Source organism: Homo sapiens, chromosome 3 (genome assembly GCF_000001405.40).
Source record: "Homo sapiens chromosome 3, GRCh38.p14 Primary Assembly".
In the NCBI taxonomy this organism is placed as follows: Eukaryota; Metazoa; Chordata; class Mammalia; order Primates; family Hominidae; genus Homo; species Homo sapiens.
This window is the reverse complement of record NC_000003.12, coordinates 112,119,947-112,146,102: the sequence shown is the minus strand read 5'-3', so window position 1 is coordinate 112,146,102 and position 26,156 is coordinate 112,119,947. Positions and strand designations below refer to the sequence as shown.

General features: G+C 39.5%; 3 protein-coding genes and 1 long non-coding RNA gene across 20 annotated transcripts in view, besides 6 other annotated features; 2 read left to right on the top strand and 2 right to left on the bottom strand.

The window, feature by feature from the left end:
• Window positions 1-5,205, top strand: part of SLC9C1 (solute carrier family 9 member C1) — a 153,319-nt gene extending 148,114 nt beyond the window's left edge. For all 9 annotated transcript variants that reach the window (NR_135297.2, XM_011512718.2, NM_001320531.2 and 6 more), the window contains one exon: window positions 4,822-5,205. Coding sequence is in view for 8 of the 9 variants with exons in the window: in XM_011512718.2 (XP_011511020.1) it covers window positions 4,822-4,831 (10 nt within the window). In the remaining variant the exon portion in view is untranslated. The remainder of the gene's footprint in view (window positions 1-4,821) is intronic.
• Window positions 8,497-9,015: an enhancer, noted in NCBI's record as "OCT4-NANOG-H3K27ac hESC enhancer chr3:111855935-111856453 (GRCh37/hg19 assembly coordinates)". NCBI's record gives its function as "activates a minimal SCP1, AML or CMV promoter by ChIP-STARR-seq in naive and primed H9 embryonic stem cells {active_cell/tissue: H9 hESC(naive and primed)}" and the evidence as "EXISTENCE:reporter gene assay evidence [ECO:0000049][PMID:30033119]".
• Window positions 9,016-9,535: an enhancer, noted in NCBI's record as "OCT4-NANOG-H3K27ac hESC enhancer chr3:111855415-111855934 (GRCh37/hg19 assembly coordinates)". NCBI's record gives its function as "activates a minimal SCP1, AML or CMV promoter by ChIP-STARR-seq in naive and primed H9 embryonic stem cells {active_cell/tissue: H9 hESC(naive and primed)}" and the evidence as "EXISTENCE:reporter gene assay evidence [ECO:0000049][PMID:30033119]".
• C3orf52 (chromosome 3 open reading frame 52) overlaps window positions 9,722-26,156 on the bottom strand; it is a 49,993-nt gene continuing 33,558 nt past the window's right edge. For both annotated transcript variants that reach the window (XR_924171.4, XR_007095726.1), the window contains exon 8: window positions 9,722-17,870. The gene's annotated coding sequence lies outside the window, so the exon portion shown is untranslated. The remainder of the gene's footprint in view (window positions 17,871-26,156) is intronic.
• On the bottom strand, window positions 10,744-12,680 carry TBILA (TGF-beta induced lncRNA). The gene has a single exon (NR_157393.1). It is a non-coding gene; the product is annotated as a TGF-beta induced lncRNA (long non-coding RNA).
• Window positions 12,530-12,709: an enhancer, noted in NCBI's record as "active region_20237". NCBI's record gives its function as "activates an Ori minimal core promoter by ATAC-STARR-seq in GM12878 lymphoblastoid cells {active_cell/tissue: GM12878}" and the evidence as "EXISTENCE:reporter gene assay evidence [ECO:0000049][PMID:35858748]".
• On the top strand, window positions 12,855-25,264 carry GCSAM (germinal center associated signaling and motility). 8 transcript variants are annotated; one of them, NM_152785.5, is made up of 6 exons: window positions 12,855-13,011; window positions 15,590-15,658; window positions 18,042-18,086; window positions 19,070-19,116; window positions 20,849-20,877; window positions 22,331-25,264. In NM_152785.5, exons 1-6 carry the CDS (start codon window positions 12,983-12,985, stop codon window positions 22,646-22,648), a joined length of 537 nt encoding a protein of 178 aa, NP_689998.1. In that variant the 5' UTR covers window positions 12,855-12,982; the 3' UTR covers window positions 22,649-25,264. The 8 variants fall into 8 exon arrangements, with proteins under 8 accessions (NP_689998.1, NP_001177188.1, XP_024309205.1 ...); NM_001190259.2 differs by having other exon boundaries at window positions 15,584-15,658; XM_024453437.2 differs by having other exon boundaries at window positions 22,328-23,576.
• Window positions 13,190-13,249: an enhancer, noted in NCBI's record as "active region_20236". NCBI's record gives its function as "activates an Ori minimal core promoter by ATAC-STARR-seq in GM12878 lymphoblastoid cells {active_cell/tissue: GM12878}" and the evidence as "EXISTENCE:reporter gene assay evidence [ECO:0000049][PMID:35858748]".
• Window positions 18,962-19,595: an enhancer, noted in NCBI's record as "OCT4-NANOG-H3K27ac hESC enhancer chr3:111845355-111845988 (GRCh37/hg19 assembly coordinates)". NCBI's record gives its function as "activates a minimal SCP1, AML or CMV promoter by ChIP-STARR-seq in naive H9 embryonic stem cells {active_cell/tissue: H9 hESC(naive)}" and the evidence as "EXISTENCE:reporter gene assay evidence [ECO:0000049][PMID:30033119]".
• Window positions 24,668-24,777: an enhancer, noted in NCBI's record as "active region_20235". NCBI's record gives its function as "activates an Ori minimal core promoter by ATAC-STARR-seq in GM12878 lymphoblastoid cells {active_cell/tissue: GM12878}" and the evidence as "EXISTENCE:reporter gene assay evidence [ECO:0000049][PMID:35858748]".

Sequence of the window (26,156 nt, the reverse complement as noted above, 5' to 3'; positions counted from 1 at the left end):
ACACAAACTAGAAAATGTAGAAGAAATGGTGTATCAGTCCGTTTTTCTGCTGCTGATAAAGACATACTTGAGACTGGGCAATTTACATAAGAAAGAGGTTTACTGGATTTACAGTTCCACGTGGCTGCGGAGGCCTCACAATCGTGGCAGAAGGTGAAAGACACATCTCATATAGTGGCAGACAAGAGAAGACAGCTTGGGCAGGGAAACTCCCCCTTATATAATCATCAGATCTCGTGAGACTTATTCACTATCATGAGAACAACACAGGAAAGACTTGCCCCCACGATTCATTTATCTGCCTTCGGGTCTCTCCCACAACATGTGGGAATTTAAGATGAGATTTGGGTGGAAACACAGCCAAACCATATCAAATAGGTAAATTTCTGGGACCACACAATCTCCCAAGATTGAATCAGGAAGAAATTGAAAAACTGAACAGACCAATATCAGGTTCCAAAATTGAATCCATAAAAAAGAACCTACCAACCAAAAAAAAAAAAAAAAAAAAAAGCCAAGGGCAGGTGGATTCACAGCCAAATTCTACCAGATATACAAAGAAGAGCTAGTACTAATTCTACTGAAACTATTTCAAAAAATCAATGAGAAGGAACTCCTCACTAACTCATTCTACAAAGCCAGCATCACCCTGATATCAAAACCTGGCAAAACACAATGAAAAAAGACAACTACAGGCCAATATTCCCAATCAACATAGATGTGAAAATCCTCAACAAAATTTTAGCAAATTAAATCCAGCAGCACATCAGAAAGTTAATATACCACGATCAAGTAGGCTTTATTTCTGGGATGCAAGACTGGTTCAACATCCAGCAAATCAATAACTGTGGTTCACCACATAAACAGAATCAAAAACAAAACCATATGATCATCTCCATAGACATAGAGAAAGCTTTTGATAAGATCCAACATCCCTTCATGATAAAAAGCCTCAACAGACTAGGCACTGAAGGGACACACCTCAAAATAATAGGAGCCATCAAGCTCCTATTATTTTTGGGACAAGCCCACAGCCAACATCATACTGAATAGGCAAAAGCTGGAACCATTCCCTTTGAGAACTGGAACAAGAAAAGGATGTCCACTCCCACTACTCCTATTCAACATAATACTAGAAATGCTAGCCAAAGCAATTAGGCAAAAGAAAGAAATAAAGTCATCCAAAAAAGAAAAAGAAGTCAAACTATCTCTCTTTACAGACAATATGATTTTATATTTAAAAAACCCTAAGGACTCTACCAAAAGGCTTCTGGAGGTGACAAACAACTTCAGCAAAGTTTCAGGATGCAGAATCAATGTACAAAAATCAGTAGCATTTCCATACACCAATGTTCAAGCTGAGAGCCAAGTCAAGAACACACTCCCATTTACAATATATACACACACACACAAACCTTAGGAATACATGCAACCAAGGAGGTAAAAGATTTCTATAAGGAGAATGACAAAATACTGCTGAAAGAAATCACAGATGACATAAACAAATGGAGAAACATTCCATGCTTGTGGATTAGAAGAATCAATATTGTTAAAATGGCCATACTGCCCAAAACAATCTACAGATTCAACACTATTCTTATTGAATTACCAATATAATTTTTCACAGAATTAGAAAAAAAATGGCCGGGTGTGGTGGCTCACACCTGTAATTCCAGCACTTTAGGACGCCAAGGTCAGGAGTTTGGGACCAGCCTGGCCAACATGGTGAAACCCCGTCTCTACTAAAAATACAAAAAAATAGCTGGGCTTGATGGTGGGTACCTGTAATCCCAGCTACTCAAGAGGCTGAGGCAGGAGAATTGCTTGAACCCAGGAGGCGGAGGTTGCAGTGAGCCAAGATCACACCATTGCACTCCAGCCCGGGCGACAGTGCGAGACTCTGTCTCAAAAAAAAAAAAAAAAAAAAAGCCAGGGCATCACAATACTATAAGGCATAGTAATCAAAGCAGCATGGTACTGGTACAAAAACAGACACATAGACCAATGGAACAGAATAGAGAACCTATAACTAAAGCCCCACACTTACAACCATCTAATCTTCAACAAAGTTGACAATACAAGCAATGGGGAAAGGACTCCCTATTCAATAACTGGTACTAGGATAACTGGCTAGCCATATACAGAAGAATGAAACTGAAACTATTTCATTCTTTCCCCTACCTTTCACCATATACAAAAATTCACTCAAGACAGATTAAAGATTTAAATGTAAGACCTCAAACCATAAGAATCCTAGATGAAAACCTAGGAAACACTATTCTCGACACTGGCCTTGGCAAATAATTTATGACTAAGTCTTCAAAAGCAATTGCAACAAAAACAGAAACTGACAAGTAGGACCTAATTAAACTAAAGAGCTTCTGCACAGCAGAAGAAACTATCAATAGAATAAACAGACAACCTACAGTATGGGAGAAAATATTCCCAAACTGTGCATCCAACAAAGGCCTAATTTCCAGAATCCATAAAGAACTTAAACAATTGAACAAGCAAAAAACAACCCCATTAAAAATGCATGAAAGACATAGACAGACACTTCTCAAATGAAGACGTACAAGCAGCCAGCAAACATGAAAAAGTGCTCATCATGACTAATCATTAGAGAAATGCAAATCAAAACCACAATGAGATACTACCTCACACCATTCAGAATGACTCTTACTAAAAAGACAAAAACAACAGATATGATGAAGCTGCAGAGAAAAGGAAACATGTATACACTGTTGGTGGGAATGTAAACTAGTTCAGCCACTATGAACAGTAGTTTGGAGATTTCTCAAAGAACTTAAAACAGAACTACCATTTGATGCAGCAATGGCATTACTGGAGATATATATATATATATACACAAATTATTCTACCAAAAAGACACATGCACTTGCATGTTCATCGTAGCACCACTTACAATAAATAGCAAAGACATGGAATCAACCTAGGTGCTCATCAGTGGTGGGTTGAATAAAGAAAATGTGGTACATATATGCCATGAAATACTATACAGCCATAAAAAAGACCCAAATCCTGTCCTTTGCAGCAATATGGATGCAGCTGAAACCCATTATCCTAAGCAAATTAACACAAGAAAAGAAAACCAAATATTGCATGTTCTCACCTGTAAGTGGGAACTAAACATTGGGTACTCATGGATATAAAGATGGCAACATTAGACCCTGGGGATTTCTACAGAGGGCAGGGAGGGAGGGGTCAAGGGTTGAAAAACTAACTACTGGGTACTATGCTCAGTACCTGGGTGATGGAATCATTTGAATCCTAAGCCCAGCATCACGCAATATACCCAGGTAACAAACTTGCACATGTATCCCTGGAATCTAAAATAAAAATTGGAAAGAAAAGGATTTTTTTTTATTATTGCCCAAAGAATACTTTCATATATTATCAGAAGATATTCTCTTTTTTGTATATTGAATTTAAGTCAGAATGATTTAGGTAATGTTTAATGCATTGATCTCTTTTACCTCAAAAAAGTAATACTGTCATAGAAAGCAGAAGGAAATACAAGGAGGTGCTGGAGATTGATAATCTTCTTGGCAGGAGGACACCCAAGTCAGCAGTTTCTTATATAATCCTATAATAATAAAAGCAGTTCAAGAATGGTCCAAAAAAAGAATTAATTGCTTACAATAAGATCAATATCTTTACTTTGGACTAATGTGTACAACATGATTAGGAAAACACTGTAATTTCAACAGGCAAACTTATGAATAAGCAATTCAAGTAAAAGACAATACCTAACAATGGAGAAAATAGTAATCTAAGAAATGCAGAATTTAAAAAAAATTATTAACATTTGCTTTTTTAATTGACAACTTTTTTATTCATTGGTAACATCTATTTCCTTTGAAACAGAAGAGGAAATAGATGAAAACTGAGGGATATTGGTTTTCTCATATTTTGCTGGTAGAAGAGTAAAAACAACTTGTAACAAAGTTATAAGAATGCTCACACACTTTGAATTAGTGATTATGCTTCTAGGGATTAATCCAAAGTAAATTATTCTTACAGTAAATGTGTACAAAACGTCCAAGGCACTACTACTTCTAATGACGAAAGAGCCCAAGTGTCTAACAACGAGATTGTCTACAGAACATCCATATGAGGAAATATTGTGCAACCATTAAAAGGGTTGGTTGTATAGATCAATGTAAAATATGAAGAGGAAGGCAAAATATGCAACATACAATATATATACATCTTTCAACATGAAAAGGGTCTAGAAAAGATCAATACAAGTTATTTAATTATGGAATTAGAAGGATGAGAATAGGAGTGGTTTTGATCACTTCTCTTATTTTATGCAGTTCTATTGATTTTATAATAAAAAGCATGATTATGAAACTATTAAACATTATTGAAATATAAATTATGTGAAAGTTATTTATTTCTTCTTAACACCCTTTACGTTCAGCAATACTGGTTTGATGAAGGGGGTTTTTATAGTCAGAACTGAAGCTCAATGAGTGGTAATGGATTAAGTCAATGCTTCTCACAATGGACAATCCTCCTCCTGACAATCCATAAACTATGCCTGTTCATTTTAGCACGCTTCAGTGGCTTCTCAGACTCTGACTCCTAGGTTAAATCATTCTGCCACCACTCTATGAGTGACAAGGGATTCACACTCACTTGCTCAATTTCCTTCCTTGGCCTTAACAAAAATGACCAAGTGTGTCTTATGGGAGTCAAATTGACCCTCTAGTACATCCTATTCTGGGTTGTAAGTCAATATTGAAAGATTCAAAAGCCCTCTATGTTTTTGTTTTTTCTTTCCGCTTCTATTAGGAAAGAGTAAGACTGTTAAGAAGACCGAAGCATGTATTAATGCTGTGGCTATGAGAGGCCTCCTGCTGCAGAAACACACTTCCCTACATCAAGAAGGAGTAACTTCAGGTTGGATCCTGTGTGGATGATCTTGGTGCTAAGCAGAAAAGAAATTTGGACCTTGAAACCAGCAGTTCAACATATATACTTTTTGCAAAATTTCCTTGATTTAAAATATTTGTTATTTTAAATATACAAAACATTTTAGAAAATCTTAGAGTAAATTTTAGTCTTAAAGCCAGAAAATAAGTTTATAGCCATCTAGATATTTTGCATATTGCTCTTACAGCAATAATGGTTTGGTTCACTTTATGAAAAATAAAATGTATTAAAATATAGTTTAAATGCTGTTCTTGATCCAAGTATTGATTTTTGTCACTCATTGTACTTCACTCATCTCGGTAGCTCTCAGAGAATTATAATAGTGAGGAATGAAAACTGATTCAGACTGAATCAGGCAACTTAGCCCTGAGTGAAACTTTCAGTAATCACTTTATTCACCATTATACTCACAGCAACAAGCACAATGCCTAGTATGTAATTTTAGATAATAGTCTTAACAGTGAAGAATTAGTGCATGCTTTCTGTATGTTAGGCATACAACACATGCCATACAGTTATGATGAACTCATTTTGTAACAATCATATAAGGTAAGTACAATTATTCCCAATTTATGAATGAGTAAACTGAAAATCTTACAACTAGGAAGAGGCAGAGCAGAGATTTGAAAACAAGTTATAACACATATCCCCCTAATATGGTAAGCCCTAAATAGATATCTGAAGAATTAATAAAAATTTAGCTTGCAGTGAGCTGAGATAGCACCACTGCAGTCTGGCCCGGGTGAAAGAGCAAGACTCCATCTCCAAAAAAAAAAAAATATATATTTAAAGATAAGTCTTCAGAGTCAGACTTCCACCTGGGGGTCTAGAAATCTGAATGCTATGCCAAATAACTGGTGGTGGGCACATTTTAGAAGCCAAGTATGGCAACTCCTGTCACAAAAGTGTCCTTGTGGAAAAGACAACTTGGTTTGTTTCTGTTGACAAAGTCAAATCAAACTGCTACCACTTCTCTCCAAAACTAACCTTAACCAGTTTTTTCCCAGTGATAATTACCTGACAGCTGTTAAGTGTTTAAGGAACCCCATTAATGAGTACCCCTCCTCTCCTGAGTTCTGAACCAACTGAAAATTATGATAAAGGGTTAAAGCAGATAGAGATTAAAACATTCACAAGCTCACCATTATTACTGATGGAGCTGACATTAGATAAGGTGGTTGCCTTCTTTTCCCTAGAACTGAAAAGATTGACTGCTGTAGGCATTTGTCATTAAGCTTAATGCATAGCTGAGAACAGTAGAAAATGCAAGATTTCTAAGAGTAAATTTACTCCAAAAAGTATCAAGAAGAAGGGGATTAACACAGAATGTCCAGGCTCTACTTCCAAATACATCAACCAAATAAACCACCGCACTTCAGTAGAACAAATGAGAAAATGAAGATGGGCAGCAATATAAAGGCAATGGAGATTTCAGCCCTTGATCTAGAGCAAGGACCTAGAGAGGGAAGAAGTGTTCTCCACCAACAGTAGCTGTTACTTACAGAGAGCCTAATGTTACTTACAGAGAGCCTAATGTGTCTTCTGATACGCTATTCTGAGTGCTTTTCCCTCATTAGCTTATGCAGTCATCATATGAATTTTGGGAGGTACTTACCATCATTAGTCCCATTTTGCCAAGGAAGTAATGGGGCTTAGAGCACACAAATAAATTGCTCAAAGTCACACAGCTAGGCATGATGACATGGATTTAAATCCTCCAAGCACAATCAGTGTAATGCTTTTTAAGTTATTTAGATTTTATCATGGAAATTTAAGCCATTGAAGAAGTATTGCATACACTCCATTATATTAGTTATTGTCAATGTCATGGACTAGGTTTGTGTACTGGATTGTAAACATCTCCCTGTGGGAAAAGGCCACTACACAAGACACTGGAATATAAAATCCTGGTACCATGCATGATGTATATAACCAGCCTCATCTTCAGGGCATGGTGGGTTGTGTGCCTAGGGCTCTGTTTTTACCTGAAAGAATGTAATGTACAGACTTTGGCTGAGGAAGGTTCTTAGAGCTCACTTTCATTTGGCTCTTCAGAGGAAAGCTGTTTATTTGCTTACAATGCCCAGAATATTGTCTGCTTTTAAAATTTTTATATAAAAGGCTTTCCTTGGTCTGTTGACCCTTGAATATTTTTGTAATTTAGCTTTATTCTTTAACTTTTATAATGCTTAAACCTGGTTTGTACTTTTTCTGCAGATATTTGACTTATCTTCCATGTTCTATATTAGTTTTACTAATGAAAAACAGGAAACTTTGCAAATGAAGAAACATTCTTCCCAAGGGTCATTTATTCTCAGAGAAGTGCTGTCCCACCCTCCTGGTGGTTACAGCTAGGAGAGCATTCCCAGTGAACTGAAAAAGTTCCCATTCTGTTTCTAGGCAATCATCTCTGGATTACCATGGCTCCTGCAAAGCCAATGGAGCTATGTGCTGAAATCTCTTCACCACAAAGCAAAAGTCTAACCCCAACGTTCACCTAGAGAGTTACTGAAACTCTGTTATCTCCTCTTTAAAACAAAATATTTTTTATATGGAATAGCAGCAATTAATAGTTACAGTTTTCAAACACACAACTATCTGACATTAGCTAGGACCACTAATCAGCTCATATTCTGTATCACAAAGTATATAGGTAGAAAGTTCTATTCAGGAAGATTCCTCAGTACTCTCTCACCATGCAGCCTTTGCCCTCTTTTAAAGGGAAGCAGAATAGGGAAGTCTTAACTAAGCTATTTGACTCCTGGTTCTGTAAGAAATCTTAAATAAACCACTTCTTTTCCCAAAATAAAATGCCCCAAAATAATTTTCTTTCTGTATAATTAGTTCTCCTAATTCCCTTCCCTCATTTCACCATTGCCAGAAAGTGACTGGGCTTGGGCTAGGGCTAGGGCTAGAATTATCCCATCTAGGCCTTTGAAACTGCAGGAGTATCTAGAATCACTCTTATCACTCACTCTTACCCTAAAGGTCTCTAACGTGCCTTGTGCTGAGGCCAGCCCAGATTGTGAAAACTGCGTAAGAACTGGGAAGCCTTGACACACTACATGCAAATATACTGCTCCTTATTGACACATTGGAGTGATGTAGACCAGGTTTCAAAGTCAAGCTAAGACGTCTTTCTATGAGTACTTATTAAATAGGACAACAAATAGATATATCCACACCCCGTTTGAACTTATATCTTAGCTCTGTCACTTCCTATTGGGATATCCTTGAGCAAGTCACTTGAGCCTGGTGTTCTCATCTACAACAAAGAGGAAATGGTATTTATTCCACAGAATTCTTACATGAAGAAATTAGAAATTGTATCTAAAGCATTTAACAGAATTACTGGATTATTAGAAAGCTCTCAACAAATACTTATTGTAATTATACTTTTCTATGATCTTCAAAGGATATAGCAAAACAGTCATTGGTCATTAATTCTTTACAGCAATGCCAAAGGATAGGAAAGTAAATTTAAAGATCTCAACCCAAACGTTCTCTGATTTCCCTATCATCTGCTTACAAATATCCAGGCTTTTATTTCCAATTCAACACATACGGTTTCTTACATGTGTTAGAAATGTAGTTTCTTACACGTGTTAGGCACTGGAGTTAAACACTGAGAAGAATAAAGAGTGAATCTATGATTCAAAGATTTGTTATCTGGGCTTCTTTGTGTGGGGGTGTGTTGCTCTACTCATTTACGGAGAGGAGATATATTATTTATAGTCCAGAGTCAGTTTTACAGCAGTAAATCTATTATAAATATCCTGCTCTTTCATGCTACTTTACACAAGTGATTGATAGCTAACACTTCCACAGCTCAGCTTCTCCATCTAGCGGCCTGAGTAAAACAGAAGCTTGAAAGCAATTCCTAACCTTCCCCTAAATTACAATGGGCAGATTGATTTCCAACTCACCCTACCATGGCTCTCTGGACTCAAAGACTCTTTTAGACAATAGTGGAACTAATTAAGCCACACATGGAGCAGCATCCAGGCTGTGTCTGCTCAGGCTGCCCCAACTAGGGTCTAGGATCTGTTCATTCATACTGGTGGGAAGTCAACAATAGCCCTACTCACTGGCTAAGCACCCTGTCCATGTGGTCTCTCTTTCACAATGCTAAGACATTCTGGTCCCCTGCTGCTAGCCTCTAGGTAGTGCAAAATGTGCTGAGGCCACTGAGGAAGGGGCACTTTTAGGTTAGATTGATTGTTTTTCTTTTTTTCTGAAGGTAATAGGGAAGAGAGAGGTTAGTTATAATAGTATACCAAGATTCCTTCCGACTCCCACACATACATACCTCTTTTTCTCGTACACAAAATGGCAGACCACTGGTTGTCATCCCAGATTTTCCATACACAAGGAAGAAGCATTCAATAATTTGGAACACATACTCTATTTTTTATTGTAATTATCCAGCCTGGGAAAGGAAATGGTTTTGAAAGAGGAGAATAGGAGAAACAGACAAGGGTACCCCCAGGTTTCTTAGATCTATATGCTGTGGAAACCTGATTTTCAATATAAGCTTTGTTAAGAATATTCTTTTTTACTTCAATGCTTCATTTAATTTATTGATGGGAGGGTTTTCCTGAATTTCAAATATTTACAGAATAAGAAAATTTACCACCCTAACATCTTTCCTAGAGTCAATTACATGAGGGATTCATGAAAAAAATTAATGGAGCTACTATTGGGGAAATAGAATTAAAAGCAAAATCTCCTGCTATTTCAGAAAACCTCACCACAAAAATAGAAGAGAAAGAAAACACTTTTATTTCTGAATATTCAACCAGAATGTAATGCACACCACAGGCAATCCCCTAAAGAGATTACTAAAACAGAAAGAAATCTTCCCCTTTTATATGCCAAGAAGATATCCTCCACTGCACACATTTTCTCAAGACAAACAATGACTAGTATTCACATAAGAGGACTTGACAGCACCATTTGTCACATAGCGTTTATCTGAAATTATTTTTGTAATATATTTGCTAATTGCCCTTAAAAACTAATTTCTCATTTCTTTTTGGTTGGAGGTAGATTTGCAATTTGGAGTCAGGTGTCAACTGAAGTTAGACTCCAGAAAATTGTATTCTGGAATACTTGAGCATGGAGACTGCACATGGACATTAGGGTGTGTGCTCTGAGATAAACGAAAGCTACAGTGAGAGAACATAACCAATCCCAAAGATAATTTCAAAGAACAATGACAGCAAAGGTTAGGTGGGAGTAGTATTTGACAATGCTTATTTGATATTGTCTCTCAGAGCTGCAAACTAGATTATACAAGTCATTAGCGTCAGATAGCTTTAAAGTTGTGACCTTCCTTTACATGAATTTTCTAGCCAGTTTCCTATCCTTTGCAAGAGGTAACAAAACATGAAACCCTAGAATGTGTGAGTTCAGGCATTAGGTATATAATAAGGAGGCTCTCTGTCCAGGGCTGCTTTCTGTCTTGCAGGGGCTAGTGAGTCTTGTGTGTTTTTATTTTATTCTCACATTTGTGTTTTTTTAGAAAAGTGAATGATCAATAATGGCTTATCTTTTATAATAAAATCTTCCATTTTTAATAAGGTGCTCCTGGAAATCCCTCACAGAGCCAAAAGGAAGTTTGGAGAGCAGCCATAAGGATAAGAATGATGTGAGATGAATCTGGGGTTGCACAGCTAGTACCCTAGTTTCTCTGAAATTGTTTCTTCTAAGCCCACTCCCCATCCTTCTCCTGCCTGTTTTAGATATGACCTTTACATTACTCAAGGACAAGCAATAAAATATTTTGCACTTTGTTTTATTTCTTTCAAGGAACTTCACAAGAGCAGTCCTGTATCTGCTTTTCTTACCATTGAACCTACAGTGCCCAGCACATAGTAGGCACTCGACACATACTTGTTAAAGGAATGAACAAACAGATGAGTGACCAAACTGGAAACAACCATCAAATACAAGGATAATACAAAAATCCATGATTCCTGTCCCGAGATTTCTTTCTTTTTTAACCTTTTGTCTGTTGAGATTCATTTATGTGCAGTGAAGTGCACCCTTATTAGTATACAGTTCTGTGAATTATGAGAAATGCATACAGTCATGTGGGCACTAACACAATCAAGATAAAGAACAACAACAAAAAATTTCCTCCTGTGCTTTGAAAGTCAACACCTCCCCCACCTTTTGCTCCTGGCAACACTAATATGTTTTCTGTTCCTGTGGTTTCACCTTATCTCTAATGTCACAGAAGGTAGGCTTTAAGTCTGGTCTCTTTCACTTAGTGTAATGCATTTGAGATTGATCCAAGTTATTGCATGTATTAATAGTCCACTCCTTTTCAATGATGGTCAGGATTCTGTTGTGTGGATGTAATATAACACAGAGCTTATTTAGCAATTCACTCAATGAAGATCAGTTGGGCTATTTCCAGGGTATTTCGGCTATTATGAGTAAAGCACATATAAAAATTTGTACACACAGTCTTAGAGGACATAAGTTTCACTTGGCTAAATGCCTAGGAGTGAAATTGCCAGGTTGTACAGTAACCCTATGTTCAATTTTATAAGAAATTGCCATACTTCTGAGATGGGAGAGTTCCCTTGACCCCTTCTCGGGACTTGCGACAGGGGTGTGGCCTACTTACTTGGCCACCACCATGCTCAAACTCTCTGTGGGAGCGGGAGCACGCAGGCAAGCGGGTGCCAGGGCTTCGATGAGCACTTTTGGGCTCCAGCCCAACAGCAGCATTTAGGGATGTGTTACAATTCATGCTCTTTTAGCAGTTGCCATCCGTGGACAGCTAAGTGTTAACCCACTCAATGGAGAGTCAGGGTGGCAGCCTTTTACACCCTGCCCTGTTGGTACCCAGGTTCTTGTTCAGCATCCAGGAAGAATCAGGTTGCATGAATGGTTTGAAAGTTGATGGATGTGGACGATTTTATTAAATGGTGGAAGTGGCTCTCAGTGGAAGGGGAGCTGCAAAGGGGATGGTGCAGGAAGAAAGTGACCTTTCCCTGAAGTCTGCTGTCTCTGGCCGGGCTCCTCCCTGAAGTCATGCCACCTGAAGTTAAGCCACATCTCTGACACTCAGTTGCTTCTTCTCCTCTTGATGTTCAGCCGCTTGTCTGTCTGCCAGCTGAGGTCTGGGGTTTATATGGGCACGGGATAGGGGGGCTGGACAGGCTAAAGAGTAACATTTGGGCAGGATAACAGGGATAACTGTTCTCATTTAGGGCTTCGGTTTCAAGGCTTGAGGGTGGGACCTTTGCCAGTGAACCACCCTCTTCTACCCAGTAAAGCCCTGCCTTCTGTCCTTATCACTTCTTTCCAAAAAGGCTGTCATTTTGCATTCTCATCAGCAATGCATGAGACTTCCAGTTGCTTTGCATACCTTGCCATACTTGATATTGTCAGGGTTTTATAGCCATTGTAATAAGTATGTAAAAGTGTTCCATTGTGGATTTGATTTACACTTCCCTAATAACTACAATGTTTAGCATCTTTTAATGTTCATCTGTATAGTTCCTTTGGTGAAATGTCTGTTCAAATATTTTGCCCATTTTGTTACTGGGTGTTTGTTTTCAGATTTGAGAGTTGTTGATACTATATTTTCTACAGGTCTGTGGCTTGACTGTTTTAACCTCCTTCTGACTTTTCTAAGAAGACAACGTGATTTATAAACGTAAATATCTGTAGTGGAAAAACTCCCATGGCCCATCTGTAATTTCAGACCTGGGATTCCCCAGAGGTTCGAAGCTCTCATTGACGGGTAGTTGCTGGTTATGGCCAACAGCCAGGTTGGTTCAGGCACTGACATGTTAGGACATTCTGCACATGCGTGCCTCTAACACTCCTCCCCCAGCCTCTTCCTTCCCTCTGCAGAGACACCCTTCTCCTTTCTGCTGTCTCTGCACGGGTGGCCAGAGCCACACAGCCCTTTCTTTAAGTCAGGAGTTGCCCTGTCAGAGCACAAGGCAAGAAGGAAGTGGTAAAGGGACGGAGGGGAAGCCCTGAGAGGACTGAGAGGATGGGAAATTCTCTGCTGAGAGAAAACAGGTAAGTCTAGACTCCCTGTGGGAGAGCAGAGGAGATGGGACAGGACAATACAGCAAGGAAGAGAAAAAGAAAGCTAGTATACAGTTAGCACACTAAGTTGGGGTAGAAAGTAGTTGGGTAAGGAAACTGCCAAGCCTTCAGTGCCTACTCTGTGCCAGATACCACATTAAATTTCCCATAGGTTTTGCCTTCTCCCAAGAATCATGGTGAGCAGCTGATGGAGAATAGCTGAAAGGTGGAAAGACTTTACCAAGGAAGGTCTATATAATAGGTTACCACCTAAGAAATGAAACAACTTTCTGAAAGCCCGGGAAGGAGATGCTCTCCTGAGCTCCTCATGCTCCACAAGGAGGTCAAAATCACCACCCTCTTTCAGCCACTATTTTAAGTTTGAAATAAACAGCAAGCTTCCTGCCACCTTGAGTCTTCCTTTGATGTGCACTCCCTGCAAGCAGGTAAGCAGAGGTCATCTAGATTAAATAGGCACAGAACTCAGATTTACTTTCTGGACCTCAGCCTCTTTATTTTAAGTAGAAATAATAATACAATATCTACCTTAGAGAGTTCTAGTGTGTATTGTGCTAGCATAGTGCCTGACATAAAGTAGGGTTCAAAATTAGAAGATATTTTCTGCTTTCTTTTTCTGACCATCATCTTCCTTAATATCAAAGCCGTGCCACCAAAATAGTGCCACCACAGACAAGGTAATCTCTAGGGTATAAAGTGGGGTGATCTAGAGAGAGTAAGCGAGCCAGAGGGGGTCTTCACAGGGTTATGTTTGGAATCCCTGGTCTCAGTTCATGCTACTGGAGAGTGGAACACAGGAAAAAATGGTAGCCCACTTTTGACCACTTGCCGAAAAGAGGATTGGTGGTCCTGTGGAATATCTCATGTCCCTTCCTAAGAATCATGTTGTCTGAGACTTCTCTACCCTGGGTTGTCACAGCCCCTTGTCAATCTTCTACTCTAGCATTGTTCTAACAATTATATAAATTACTATTTTTATTACTAGATATGAGATGCTCAAATGTAGTGATTGTTTCTTATTTATCTTTGAATTCCTGGTTCCTGGCATTGTTTCTGGCATATCACGTGCACTGAATAAGTGCAAAAAAACTTTAAAAAAATTTTTTTACTTTAAAATTTTGTTTTATGTAAGAAAAAAAACCTTTTTCCAAGGTGCACACATCTTATGCTATTTGGACTTCTTATGGTTTTTTATTTATTTTAAAGAAAATTCGATTTTAAATCTAGAAAGCTTTTTGGTTTCTGCCATTGCATTCATGCTTAAAATTCTTTGCTCTTCCTAAGATAAGACAAATCAACTCACATAAGTTTTGATTTTGTTATTTTACATTTGGCAACATATATTCAATATATGGTGTCAGATGTAAATTTTTTTCCAAATAGTTGATCAGTTTGCCCAACATCTTTATTTCTATGATGATTTAAAAGGTCTCCCTTGAACCAAGTGCAGTGGCATGCACCTGTAGTCCCAGCTACTCAGGAGGCTGAGGCAGGAGGATTGCTTGAGCCCAGGAGTTTGAGGGCAGCCTGAACAACATAGCAAGACCCAGTCTTAAAAATAAATTCATTAAAATAATTAAATAAAATGTTTCCGTTAACGTATTCAAAAGTCTTGTATATATTGGTATCTAATTTTCATTGTCACCCCAACACCCAGTTATCATCTAGTCAGCATACCCCCCCAACCGTGTCTCTCCAGATCAAATAAGCTAAGAAGTCAGGGAAATTTTGCACAGAATAGAATGGCACTCATCCCTTCATGAGAGGAGCTCAGTCTCAGAGGAAGAGACCTGCCAGCAGCAAACCCAGCTTTTCCCCCTTAGTGGCTGTGGATCCTCAGACCAGTTGCCTAGCATTTTGGGCCTCAGTTTCCTCATTAGTATAAAAAATATAATGATAATATCTATCTTATGGATTTATTCTGGGATTAAATGAAATATAACACACAAAATGATTGGCATATAGTAAGTAGTGTTTAAGTGTTAGTTTCTTTATCCTCATACTCCCAATTCCCAACAAGTGGGAAGATGGGTATACAGAAATCTAACCCAAACAATGAACCAATTTATTTTCTTTATTCAATCCTTTTCTTCTCCTTCTGTCCCTTGTTCTGGGCCTCCATGCTTTCTGTGAAAGATGGTGTGATTTACACAAGACAAAGCCAGTACCTTTCCCCATTACTTGTGCATAGCTCCTGGAACTGCACCAAAGAGATGGTAGCTGAGGACCTCAGGCCTCTCTCTGGACACGGATACTCTCAAGGGTCATGACGAGGATCCCTGGATATTTGGGATCAGATGATTTAGGATCACTTGTTCATGGAGGTTGGAGAACATCAGTGGGCTGTTGCTGTGGCAATGGAGAGCATGTCAGATCAAAGGTAGCTTGCGACATGTGCTTGAGGAAACAGTATTAACATGTGTGAGGGCAACCAGTCAATTTCTGAGTTACACACAAATAGCAGAAATGAGGAAAGTCGGAAAAATTATGAAAAGAAGTGACAGGCCTGTTTAGGAAATACTTAGCCTGTTTCTGATATGTTGAGTTTCAGGCGGCAGCAGAACACTCAAGAGATGCCTTGGAATGTGAGAATGCAAAGCCCCAAACAGAGAACATCCAGGTGAGAGCAAAATCAACCAAACACCCCCCAGACCTTGCCCAAGGAGAACGAAGTATGTCAAGCCCTGGACTTCACATCCCAGTGAGAGAGGGCCCTGTTTAGACCAGTAGCAGTTGCAATAGTAACAAATGTGAAGACAGGACAAAAGATAAAATGCTTGAAAACTTTGGACAGGAGATATGCTACTTTGCTAGAAGCCTAATGTAACTCCTAGCAACAGGAACTAAGACCCTGCTAGTCCCTGTTATGCCCTGTTATAAAATAAAAGGTCTTATTTCCTGTTGTCATTTTGTTTGTCTATCTCAGGTACCTTTGTGCTCAACCTCCACCCTAGCCATTTTATTTTAAGCTATAGGTGTCTATTTCTGAAGTGACCACATGCCCCATGTTACGACAATTTTTAGAAAGTTTGTGGAGACACCATTGTGATTGCCCTGATGTTGTTAAACAAAGACCACCTCATTAATTCTTTTTGAACAGACCTTTCAAATGTCCAGCCCTAAAGAATTCTCTCTAAGGAAAGGAATAATTAAAATATGGAACTAATGTTCCAGGATCCAAGAATCCTAAGGGCTGACAAGGTCAGTTTTTCTGTGGCCTGTAAAGTTATCTGTGCTTTTCACATGGTTTCAGGAGGAGATTTTGAAAGAGGAGCAATTAAAAAACAAGCACTGTTGTTATTTTCTAACACCAATGCCCGCGTTAGGGGCTGGAGACCCAGAGATTCCTTTCAACAGGGTGAATTTTTTCAGTTCAAGTTGAGAATTACATATTTTCAGGGGTATCATTGGGCATATTTTAAGGCATACAGTTCAAATGATGAAATAAATCAGAAGGGCCACGGCATTATAACAAGGGAGAGGTTGGGTAGACCAGAGAGCCAGAGAAGGCATTGTGAAAGAGACAGATACCTCAAATTCCTGACACGTAGCCTAAGGGTATAGAGATTTGTCTAGCTTGCTTCTTGGAGGCTATCTGAACCCATCCCAAACCAAAACCACCATGTTGAAATGCAAGAATAAACTGCAGAAAAGTCAAGTAGGAGAAACAGCCAGCTTACAGATCGTTTTTGCCCATATTTAACCTCAGCTTATTCTTATAACTCCATGTGTAAGCAGTATATACATCCTCTTTTATAGATTTAAAAACTGTGGCCTCAGGAGTTCAGAGAATATCTCTCAAAATCATCCCCCTCCTCTTATCTCATTCATTTCTCCTCAGTGAATCTGGTTTGTTAACTTGGTGTGATTCAGTAGTTTTCTTACGATGTTTCCTTAGCAACAAAGCAGATAATGTAAGCAAACGGTCTGAAGCACATTGAAGGTAACCTAAAGAAGAGGAAGAGCTGCAGCTGTGCCTCTGGGCCCCAAAGGCTTTGATGATGCATAGATCTTAGAGGTTGTCAGAATGCTCAGCCAAGCAGGTGATCACAGCCAAGGTCACGATGCAGTCAGCCTCTCCTCCACTGCTCCTCCTGATGAAACTTCATGGGAAAGCTCACGGGGGGAGATATTTTTGGATGGTGTTTTCCAAACATTTTTACATACTGTAACTGATACTACTTTATAAAGGGCTTTCACATTCAACCATGTAGGTAGTTGACTATGCCTCAAATTCAGAAAAATGTACAGAATGATACTTATACATTAATGTAGATGCAGGACTGCAGAGAGATTCTAAGCCTTTGTGCTATAAGAGAGAGAAGTCCTGTTATTTAACTATATCGTTGGAGTCAAGGTGGTAGATTTGCTGACCTCCTGCACCAGGGTTGTCCTGTCCTTGGCTATTCATTCTGTATTCATATCTTCATCAAATATTTTTTGAAAACCCATTTACTGTGTGCCAGATGTTGTGTCATAGACTGGAAATACATACCACGATGAACAAGATCAATATGGTCCCCAGCTTTGTGAAGCTCACATTCTAGTGTAGAATATAGACAAGTGAGCAAACAATTGCAATATACTGTAAATTGGAGAAATTCAGAATATAGTAAAATACTGATATTGCCTAACCCATACCTGAAAAAAATGATTTGTAAAATTTCCATACACTTGTACCTTGATTTCCTGGGGATAACACTTACGTGTTCTTCATTACAAGGGAACCAAGGAAATTACCAGAATTGAGAGTGAGGAAACATTTTTCCTTTGCTGGGAACACAGCAGAAAGCTTTTTTCCTGATTAGGAATTTGATAGTATCATCTTCATCCTAGGAAGACAAAGGCATTCTACCATGAGAGATGTGTCCAAGTTATCTAGAATGAAACACGCTTGCGGGGAGAAAAAAAGTTTTCCACAGAAATGGCAAAAGGAAAGGAGTCACCTTAACAAAGCTGCAGAAATCAACCTTATGATTTGCCATCTCTCTTGGGTATTTTAGATGCTGGGATCACCATATCGCTGAAGGGTGTTTCTGCCTTCCATGGTGAGTGGACAGTTGTTTTTAGGAGTTATTTCCCTAAGTGTGGTTTCAATGTGGTATTTGCTGTAAGTTACCTGTGACTGTCTGTGGCCACAGTGGAAGCCTGTCAGTAGCCCAGATACAATCACCTAAGAGTTAATCAGGGAAGCAATCCTTCCAATTTGATGAGAAACAGGAACAATAGTCTCATGGGTCGCATGCTCTCCTCAAACAGGAAAGCCTCAGAAGCAAAGATGAAACTAGCTACTAACGTAGAAAACATACGTTTTTTTCACACTGCAAATCTGAGTCTGCATGTTCCGAAGCACACATTTCTATCCCTTGCACATAGAACTTATAGTCGGGGTGATAGTATAATTTATCATCTGAACTAAGATACCTTTGAGAGTGAAAGGGATGCTAAAAATAGTTAAAGCTCGCTAAGTGATTGATAATGACCTTCACCAGACTGAGGCAAACCAGGACATAGGGTTACCCTCACAGCAGATGTTCTTGTCTACTGAAACGATAGTGGGCTTCCATTATATTTATATCACATTTTTTCAGGGAGTCTTTTTACAGTGTTCCCTTATGCGAAGAGTGTGTTTATTTGTTTGTTTGTTTTGGAGATCATAGATTAGAATTGAGATTGAAAATAATCCTGGCTCCTTCACTCACATGATAGAAAAGAAATTGATACTTTGTCAGAAAAAAAGTCTCCAAAAAAGTAACCTCTATCACCATATTTCCCCATCTATAAATCAATTCCCTATCAGATTTAGAAAAGAAAGAGAGGAGGAGAGAGAGAAAGAGGCACAAAGGAATATATTTCTATTTGGCCTCATCTTTTACTTTTTTCTTTTTTACTTAACTCATCTATGCTGAAGGAGGTATTATAAAAGGTATATAACTTTAACAAAGAGTTAAAAGTAAGTTTTGTAGGCTTGTGTCATTTCCTTTGAGAGTTTCTGAATATTAAAACAATTTGCTTTGCTTTTCTTTTACAGGAAAAAAATACTCATTTTTGAAAAGAGGCAAGATTCCCAAAACGAAAGTAAGTCATTGATTTCCTAGTATTTTCACTTTTGATAAGACTTACATTTCCAAACTACTTCTTCTCTATGTTCCCAAAGCCCCTTAGGCATATTTCAATTACAATATCTACACATTTTGCTTTACTGTATCCAATTGCATGTCCTTTGTCCTCAGTAGATGGTGAGCTCATTGAAGCAGGAATTGGCTCATTAATCTCCAAATTCCTCAGTTAGTGCCTGAGGCCTGGAGGCTGAAGGCAGTAACTGGGGGCAAGGATACAAAAGGTGGAGGAGAAAGGCACTTACAAGAAACTGCAAGAAAGCCAGCCTGGGATAGGGGAGGGGTGGGGCCTCCTGGCCAAGTTAAAGATTTTCATCTTTGTCCTGACAGCTGCAGGAGATACTGGCTTTACACAGTGGGGAGGCGGGGGCAAGTATGATTAGATTTGTATTAAAGATATCACCCAGGTTCCTGTGCAGAAAACAAATTGCAGCAAGGAGCCGGAAGAGCAGATACCAGAAGAACACTTACGAGGCTGGTGCAGTAGTCTCTGGTGATAGAATAGCACTGAAGTTAAGGAGAAAGAATTCTAGAAGGAGAGTGTGATGAATTGTATCACACCTAAAAATAAAAATAAGAAAGTGTAGGCCTGAGGACAAGCCATTGTGTTTCTGAAGAAGAAAAATGGAAGAGTTTTGACTTTTCCTTCCTTAAAGAGGAGAACCTAATTCATTTACATAGAATCTTAAAATCTAGCCCTGCAAGATGTGTAAATGAATAATACAGCCTCCCACCCTAGCCACTTCACTCCAGGAGTCGTGGGTCCCAGGGAACCTCAATTTCCATCAGAGCAAAACGTAATAGAAATAAGACCAGATGCTAAAACTCTATGCTGAAGATGCTTTTCTTATAATGATAATCAGGGAAGTTTTAGATGCCTATAGGAGCTTATGGAGATGTGGAAATCCAGGATGTGAGGACCGAGAGAATGTCAATCCATATACCATATGGTAGCTTCCTCTGTAGACTTTCATGTGAGGGCACATGTTTGTTTATGGAATTGGTGTGTTTGCAAGAGGGTAGCAAGGGTGTCAGTTTGCCTCTTTGCTGAATGGCCAGAGCCATTTGGTTTTAACTAGGCTTTGAAAAATCGCCCTGCTCATTTGTTATCTGCCAGCAGGTATAGGAATGGGAATATTTAGCTTAAGAGTTTCCTGCTCTGCAAAACTCCTTGAACACCAATTATCACACCACCACCATCCCGTCACCTAGAGTAGAAACGACGGCCCTCTGCTCCACAGTGTGGATCTCTCAGAGCCCCTTGTCTGTCTCCTGTGCTAGCTTGTGAGCCTTTTGAGGACAGAGAATGTTTCTGATTCTCCTTTGTCTCCCCAGTGCCTGGTGCAGAGGCACTGAATTTGTGTAAGGAACACAAATCAATTTTGTGTAAGGAAGGAGACGGGGCTAGGTAAGGAGGGAAAGAGAGCTGGAGGAAGAAATCGTGATTTCCTTTCCAAAGACTAACCAAATGTGTCTCCCCCCTCTCACCTCTCAGGCTGAGCACAGCTCTAGCTGTGACTTGTTTAGATGTCCTGTCACTCCCCAGGGATGTGCTGTAGATCAGAATAGCCTGAGAAGAGCTACCCCAGCTGTTTCTTGGCTTTTTAGTTATTTATATTCTAGCCTCCCCTGCTCTTCCCTTCAAATCTCCCCATAACCTGAAATTCATTGAGTGTATTTTCTTTCTCCAGATGAAAGAATGTCATCTACTCCCATCCAGGTAATAAGAACATCTCTAAGCTATTTTTTGAGATGATGATAGAAGTACAGACACCCTAAATGGCAGGAGAAGTTGGCCTCTGAGATCCCTTCTGACCCTTACATGGAGAAAGACTTTAGATGTCAGTGCTTGTGAACTCGGGTGGCAGGTGCAGGGCCGGGTGGCAGAAGCAGCAGCCACTTCTGCTGTATAATTTATTGAAAGGAACTTAAATTTACTGACCACTTCATTTATGACAGACAACATGCTGAGTGCTTTACACACATCAACTCATGTAGCTAAAACGACAACCCTTGAATATTGCTACTATAATCCATCCCATCCCCCGATTTTATAGATGAGAAAACTGAGAGATTAAGTGACAATTCCCCAAAGCCAAATAGCTAAAAGGGGGCGGAACCAGGATTCAAAACCAAGTCTCACTTCACAATCCATGCTTTTCCCCCTGTACTTTGCTGCTTTGCTTTTTATCTCCTGATATCCCATCATAAGTGAAACCTTCCCTTGAGTCGCTTCCCTATTTAATAACATAAATATCTCTAGAGGGTAATTAAATATCACAGCCAAAACACATTAAGATATCATAAGATTATTTATATTTATTTATTTATTTTTTGGAGACAGAGTTTTGCTCTTGTCACCCAGGCTGGAGTGCAATGGCACGATCTCAGCTCACTGCAACCTCCGCCTCCTGGGTTCAAGCGATTCTCAGCCTCAGCCTCCCCAGTAGCTGGGATTGCAGGTGTGTGCCATCACACCTGGCTAATTTTTGTATTTTCAGTAGAAATGGGGTTTCACCATGTTGGCCAGGCTGGTCTCGAACTCCTGACCTCAGGTGATCCACCCACTTCGGCCTCCCAAAGTGCTGGGATTACAAGTGTGAGCCACCGTGCCCAGCCAGATTATTCTTTTTTATTAGAATGGGCTATCCTCAGAGCCATGAGACTGGGAATTATATGGGTAGTGTCTTAGTCCACTTGTGTTGCTATAAAGGAATATGCAAAGCTGGGTAATTTATAAAGAAAAGAAGTTTATTTGGCTCATGGTTCTTCAGGCGGTACACTCATAACTGCGAGGATGGCACTAAGCCATTCATGAGAAATCTGCTCCCATAACCAAAACACCTCTCACTAGGCACCACCTCCAACAATGGGAACAAAATTTCAACATTAGATTTGCAGGGGACGAATATCCAAACTATATCAGGTGGTCAGAGGTCACTCTGGAACAAGGGGCAGAGGATGCACCTGAGCAGGCTCTAGACCTTAAGCACTCTTGCAGCTAGCCTAGTGGTTGGGGTAGAAGCAGCCATTTAGAAAAAAATGGCCAAGAGATGGGGAGGAGGTGGTCATAGAAGACAGACTTGACCAAGGGTCAAGCCTGTGTTGAGACTGAAATGTAAAGGTCATGGCAAGAGACCAAATCTTGATGATGGTTCTTCTTTGACAAGCAGGACAATGTTGACCAGACCTACTCAGAGGAGCTGTGCTATACCCTCATCAATCATCGGGTTCTCTGTACAAGGCCATCAGGGAACTCTGCTGAAGAGTACTATGAGAATGTTCCCTGCAAAGCTGAGAGACCCAGAGAGTCCTTGGGAGGAACTGAGACTGAGTATTCACTTCTACATATGCCTTCTACAGACCCCAGGCATGCCCGATCCCCAGAAGATGAATATGAACTTCTCATGCCTCACAGAATCTCCTCTCACTTTCTGCAACAGCCACGTCCACTTATGGCCCCTTCTGAGACTCAGTTTTCCCATTTATAGTGAAGTGGCTGGACTAGCATTTGTTTAGCACCAACAAATAAAAGGTGGGATGGGGGATCTGCCTGAAGCAGGGATGGGACACAAAGTCCCTCCAGCTTATCTCCCACAACAACCCTTTCCCTGCAGAGCATGGTTTGTATACCACAAGCCCTCTTAGCACGCAAAAGCCAAAATCTAAAGATCAACCATTTATCCTGAACAACACCATTTGAGAAAGAGGTAACCATCTTTGGTTCTACATGGTTTGGAGAGTATAGTGGTAGGAGGGGCTCCCTGATTCCCCTAAAGCTATGCACACCACAAGGGGCTCTGCTCTTCTGTCTGGGATCTTCTTATAAAGTGTTCCCATGATCATTCTCTAAAGTCACAAGGAAGCTTTACTCATCATACTAAGTGTGCCCAAGGGGGAGTTCACTCATTACTGTGACCTTCCAGCTCAGTCCCCACCCATGGGAGCCTGTGTTGCTCCTCTCACTCCATGTGTCTAAGTCATGTCTTTTACATAGTGTCCTTTGACCTGTTGGCCCCCATGGTCTGGTTAGTTATGTGAGTTGAATCAAGAGGCTCTAGGCCAGATGTTTACATAATTTTAACCTATATGATTTTATTTTTAACTTTGTATTTCTCCCTAGAAATCTTAATAAGACAATTATGCCATCAGACAATGTTAAGAAGAACGATCCTTGGAGATCCCGTAATCCCACTACCCTTCTTTGGCTCAGAGAGGATAATTTGCCTAATGATACATTAAAGTTAGTGGCAAAACTTAATTTGGAGCCTGATTTCCTACTGACTTCCAATTTAGTGCTCCCCCAGTATGCTAAATAGAAAGCCCTCTGCAATATATTAAATGTATACTAAATGTATATATTTAATAATGTCATGTATAAAATATGAATAAAATGTCCACATAGGAAATTAACACATATATACCTTCTCTGATAAGCACTCCTCTATGTGTCCTGATTATTTACTTTCTCTTATCTTTTCCTTAGTGTTCCTCAAATTATATCTATCCTCTAAACCAGGGATCAGCAAACTATAACCCCCAGGCCAAATCTAGCCCACTCCCTGTTTTTATAGATAAAGATTTGTTGGAACACAGCCACACTCATTTGTTTACCTACTATCTATGATTGTTCAACCATGGGAGAGTTGAGTAATTGTGACATGGACCATAGGCCCTAAAGAGCCAAAATAAATATACTTTGGCACTTTTTGGAAAAAAAGTTTGCAGACACCTGCCCTAAATGATTATAGTTTGAGAGAAACTTAACAGAAATGTGTTTGGTTACTGATGCATAAGAGCAAGCACCAATAAAATGGCATAAAAATATTAAATCACAAATGGATAAGTGAGACCAAGGCAATTTAGCAAATTCTACTATTTCTGTATTCACACCTGTGTCTTCCACTTGCTGTTTTATTTAACTCACGGCTACTGTCCTAATTTTAGGGATGCTAAAATAGTTTGTTTTAAAAGAGGTTTGTTTAAGAAAGCAGTAGGTACATTATGTTTACTAGACAGGCCCTTGGACCAGCTAAGCGACAGGGAACCTGGTACATTATGTTTAGTTACTGTTTTCTTCTCAAAGTTAACCAAAGCTAAATAACTTTCCTATGTAAAATGTGCTGACTCCCAAAAGAGGAGAAATGCAATGGCTTGAGCTTGCATGTGTCACAGGTTTGTGGAGCCTTCAGCCAGGTGATGGTCTTCAGCTAAAGAGCCAGCTGCATCTTGGTATCTCTTCCTCTGCTAACTTCCTACTTTTAGCAAAATTCTTTCACTTGGAACTCTAGCTGATCCTTGGCCAGGATCAGATCCTCAAAAGGAAATATTCAGTTAGCAGTGGATATTGTACAAGATGTAACATGGCTTAGAGGAAAGAGTGTAGACCCAGCGACAGATCATCAGTCACTCAAATCCTGGTTCTCTCTCTTCCTCCATCTGTGACTTTGAACATGCTACTTGGAGGCTCAGCTTCTTCACCATCAACAGGAGGATTACATCTAATGCAGGCAATCATCTATTACAGATGCCGAATAAATGATATCAAAGAGCATAGAGAAACAAAAATCTTTTATGATGTACGGAAAAAAACCATGCTGATACAGCTGGCTATTCAGGGTCACCCAGCAGTCCTCCAGCAAGGTAGAAACACCAAATCAATGAGTTTATGCTAGAATTTTTCACATGGCCACTGGACCATTGTGGAAGTAGACTGGTTGAAATATTCTTAGTATGACATAGTAAGTTATATTTGTTTGAACCTTATCCTGTGAAAGCATTATCTGTCCCAAACAGTATATGCCTTTTATCAGGGACACATTAAATATAAATGTTTAACCAAAGAAAGTTGTTCTTATAATGTAATTATAACAGGGATTTATAAGAGGGAATTATAAGAGGGATTATGAAAGGGAATTACTTTTGAGCAAGGGGAGCCATTTGGGAGTGCTTCAAGATACCCAATATGATATACACAATTATGATTTGTCAGTCAAAAATAATATTAAGAACAAAAAAAGAGTTAAAAAATTCTGATATGAGTGTAATATACTTAATATGTAGGATGTCTCAAATTTCCAGTAAATAAATTTTAATGTCCCAAAATACCCACTATGTCTGTATGTAACACTGATCCTGTTTCCCCTACATTTCATGATTTCTAATGAAAGCTGTGCACTCCCTTTGCAGAAAATGCACATTCACATACACACACATTTGTATACGATGTGTGCGGGGGTTAGGGATGCAACCCCTCAGTGAAAGAGTCCCTGTCCCTGATAAAGAACCTGAGCCTGAGCATTTAAATTACTCTCTCGAGCCACAAATATAACCAGAAAACTCCTCCTCCCTCATGCTGGTCTTAAAACTACATAGCCAAAATTCAGAGGCACAATTTATGCCACAACTGCAGACTTTGTGGTTTCCGTTTCACGTACATACTAGCATCTATAAATAATCCCTTATTCTGTGAATAAATTCTTATTTAAAACAGAAGAGAAAAATAGGAAGAGGGCAAAGATAGGGCGGGAAAATCTGTTGACAACAAGTTGAAATGCTAACGTTTTTTAGGACAAACTTGAGTGATAGATGCTTCGGATAGTCTCAGGGATGGGGAAGGGCATGGACAGAACAGGAAATAGAAGTCTCCAGGATTCCACAAGGGCTCCAGGGAAAAGTAGATTCTGTTTCCACTTATCTCTGTTCTTTTCCAAGCCTATAGCCTCAATTCAGAAACCCACTTGATCTGAGTGTACCTTGGCTCTGCCAACTGTGAAGTGGACCAGTGTAAATTCCGTCTACTTTCCTACAGAATTCTCTTTTGCAAGGCACTTGGTGAAGCCTTGAGAGGTCATCATCATCATAGAAAGCCTCCTGCAGTCTGAGGGCCCTCCCTCTCCATTCACCCCTGACCCCTGATCACTTGTGCTCCTTAGGGATTCCCAGATGTCAGCTAAGCCTGAACTGAGCCTGCCTCTGGGGATCCTACCTGAGCTGGTG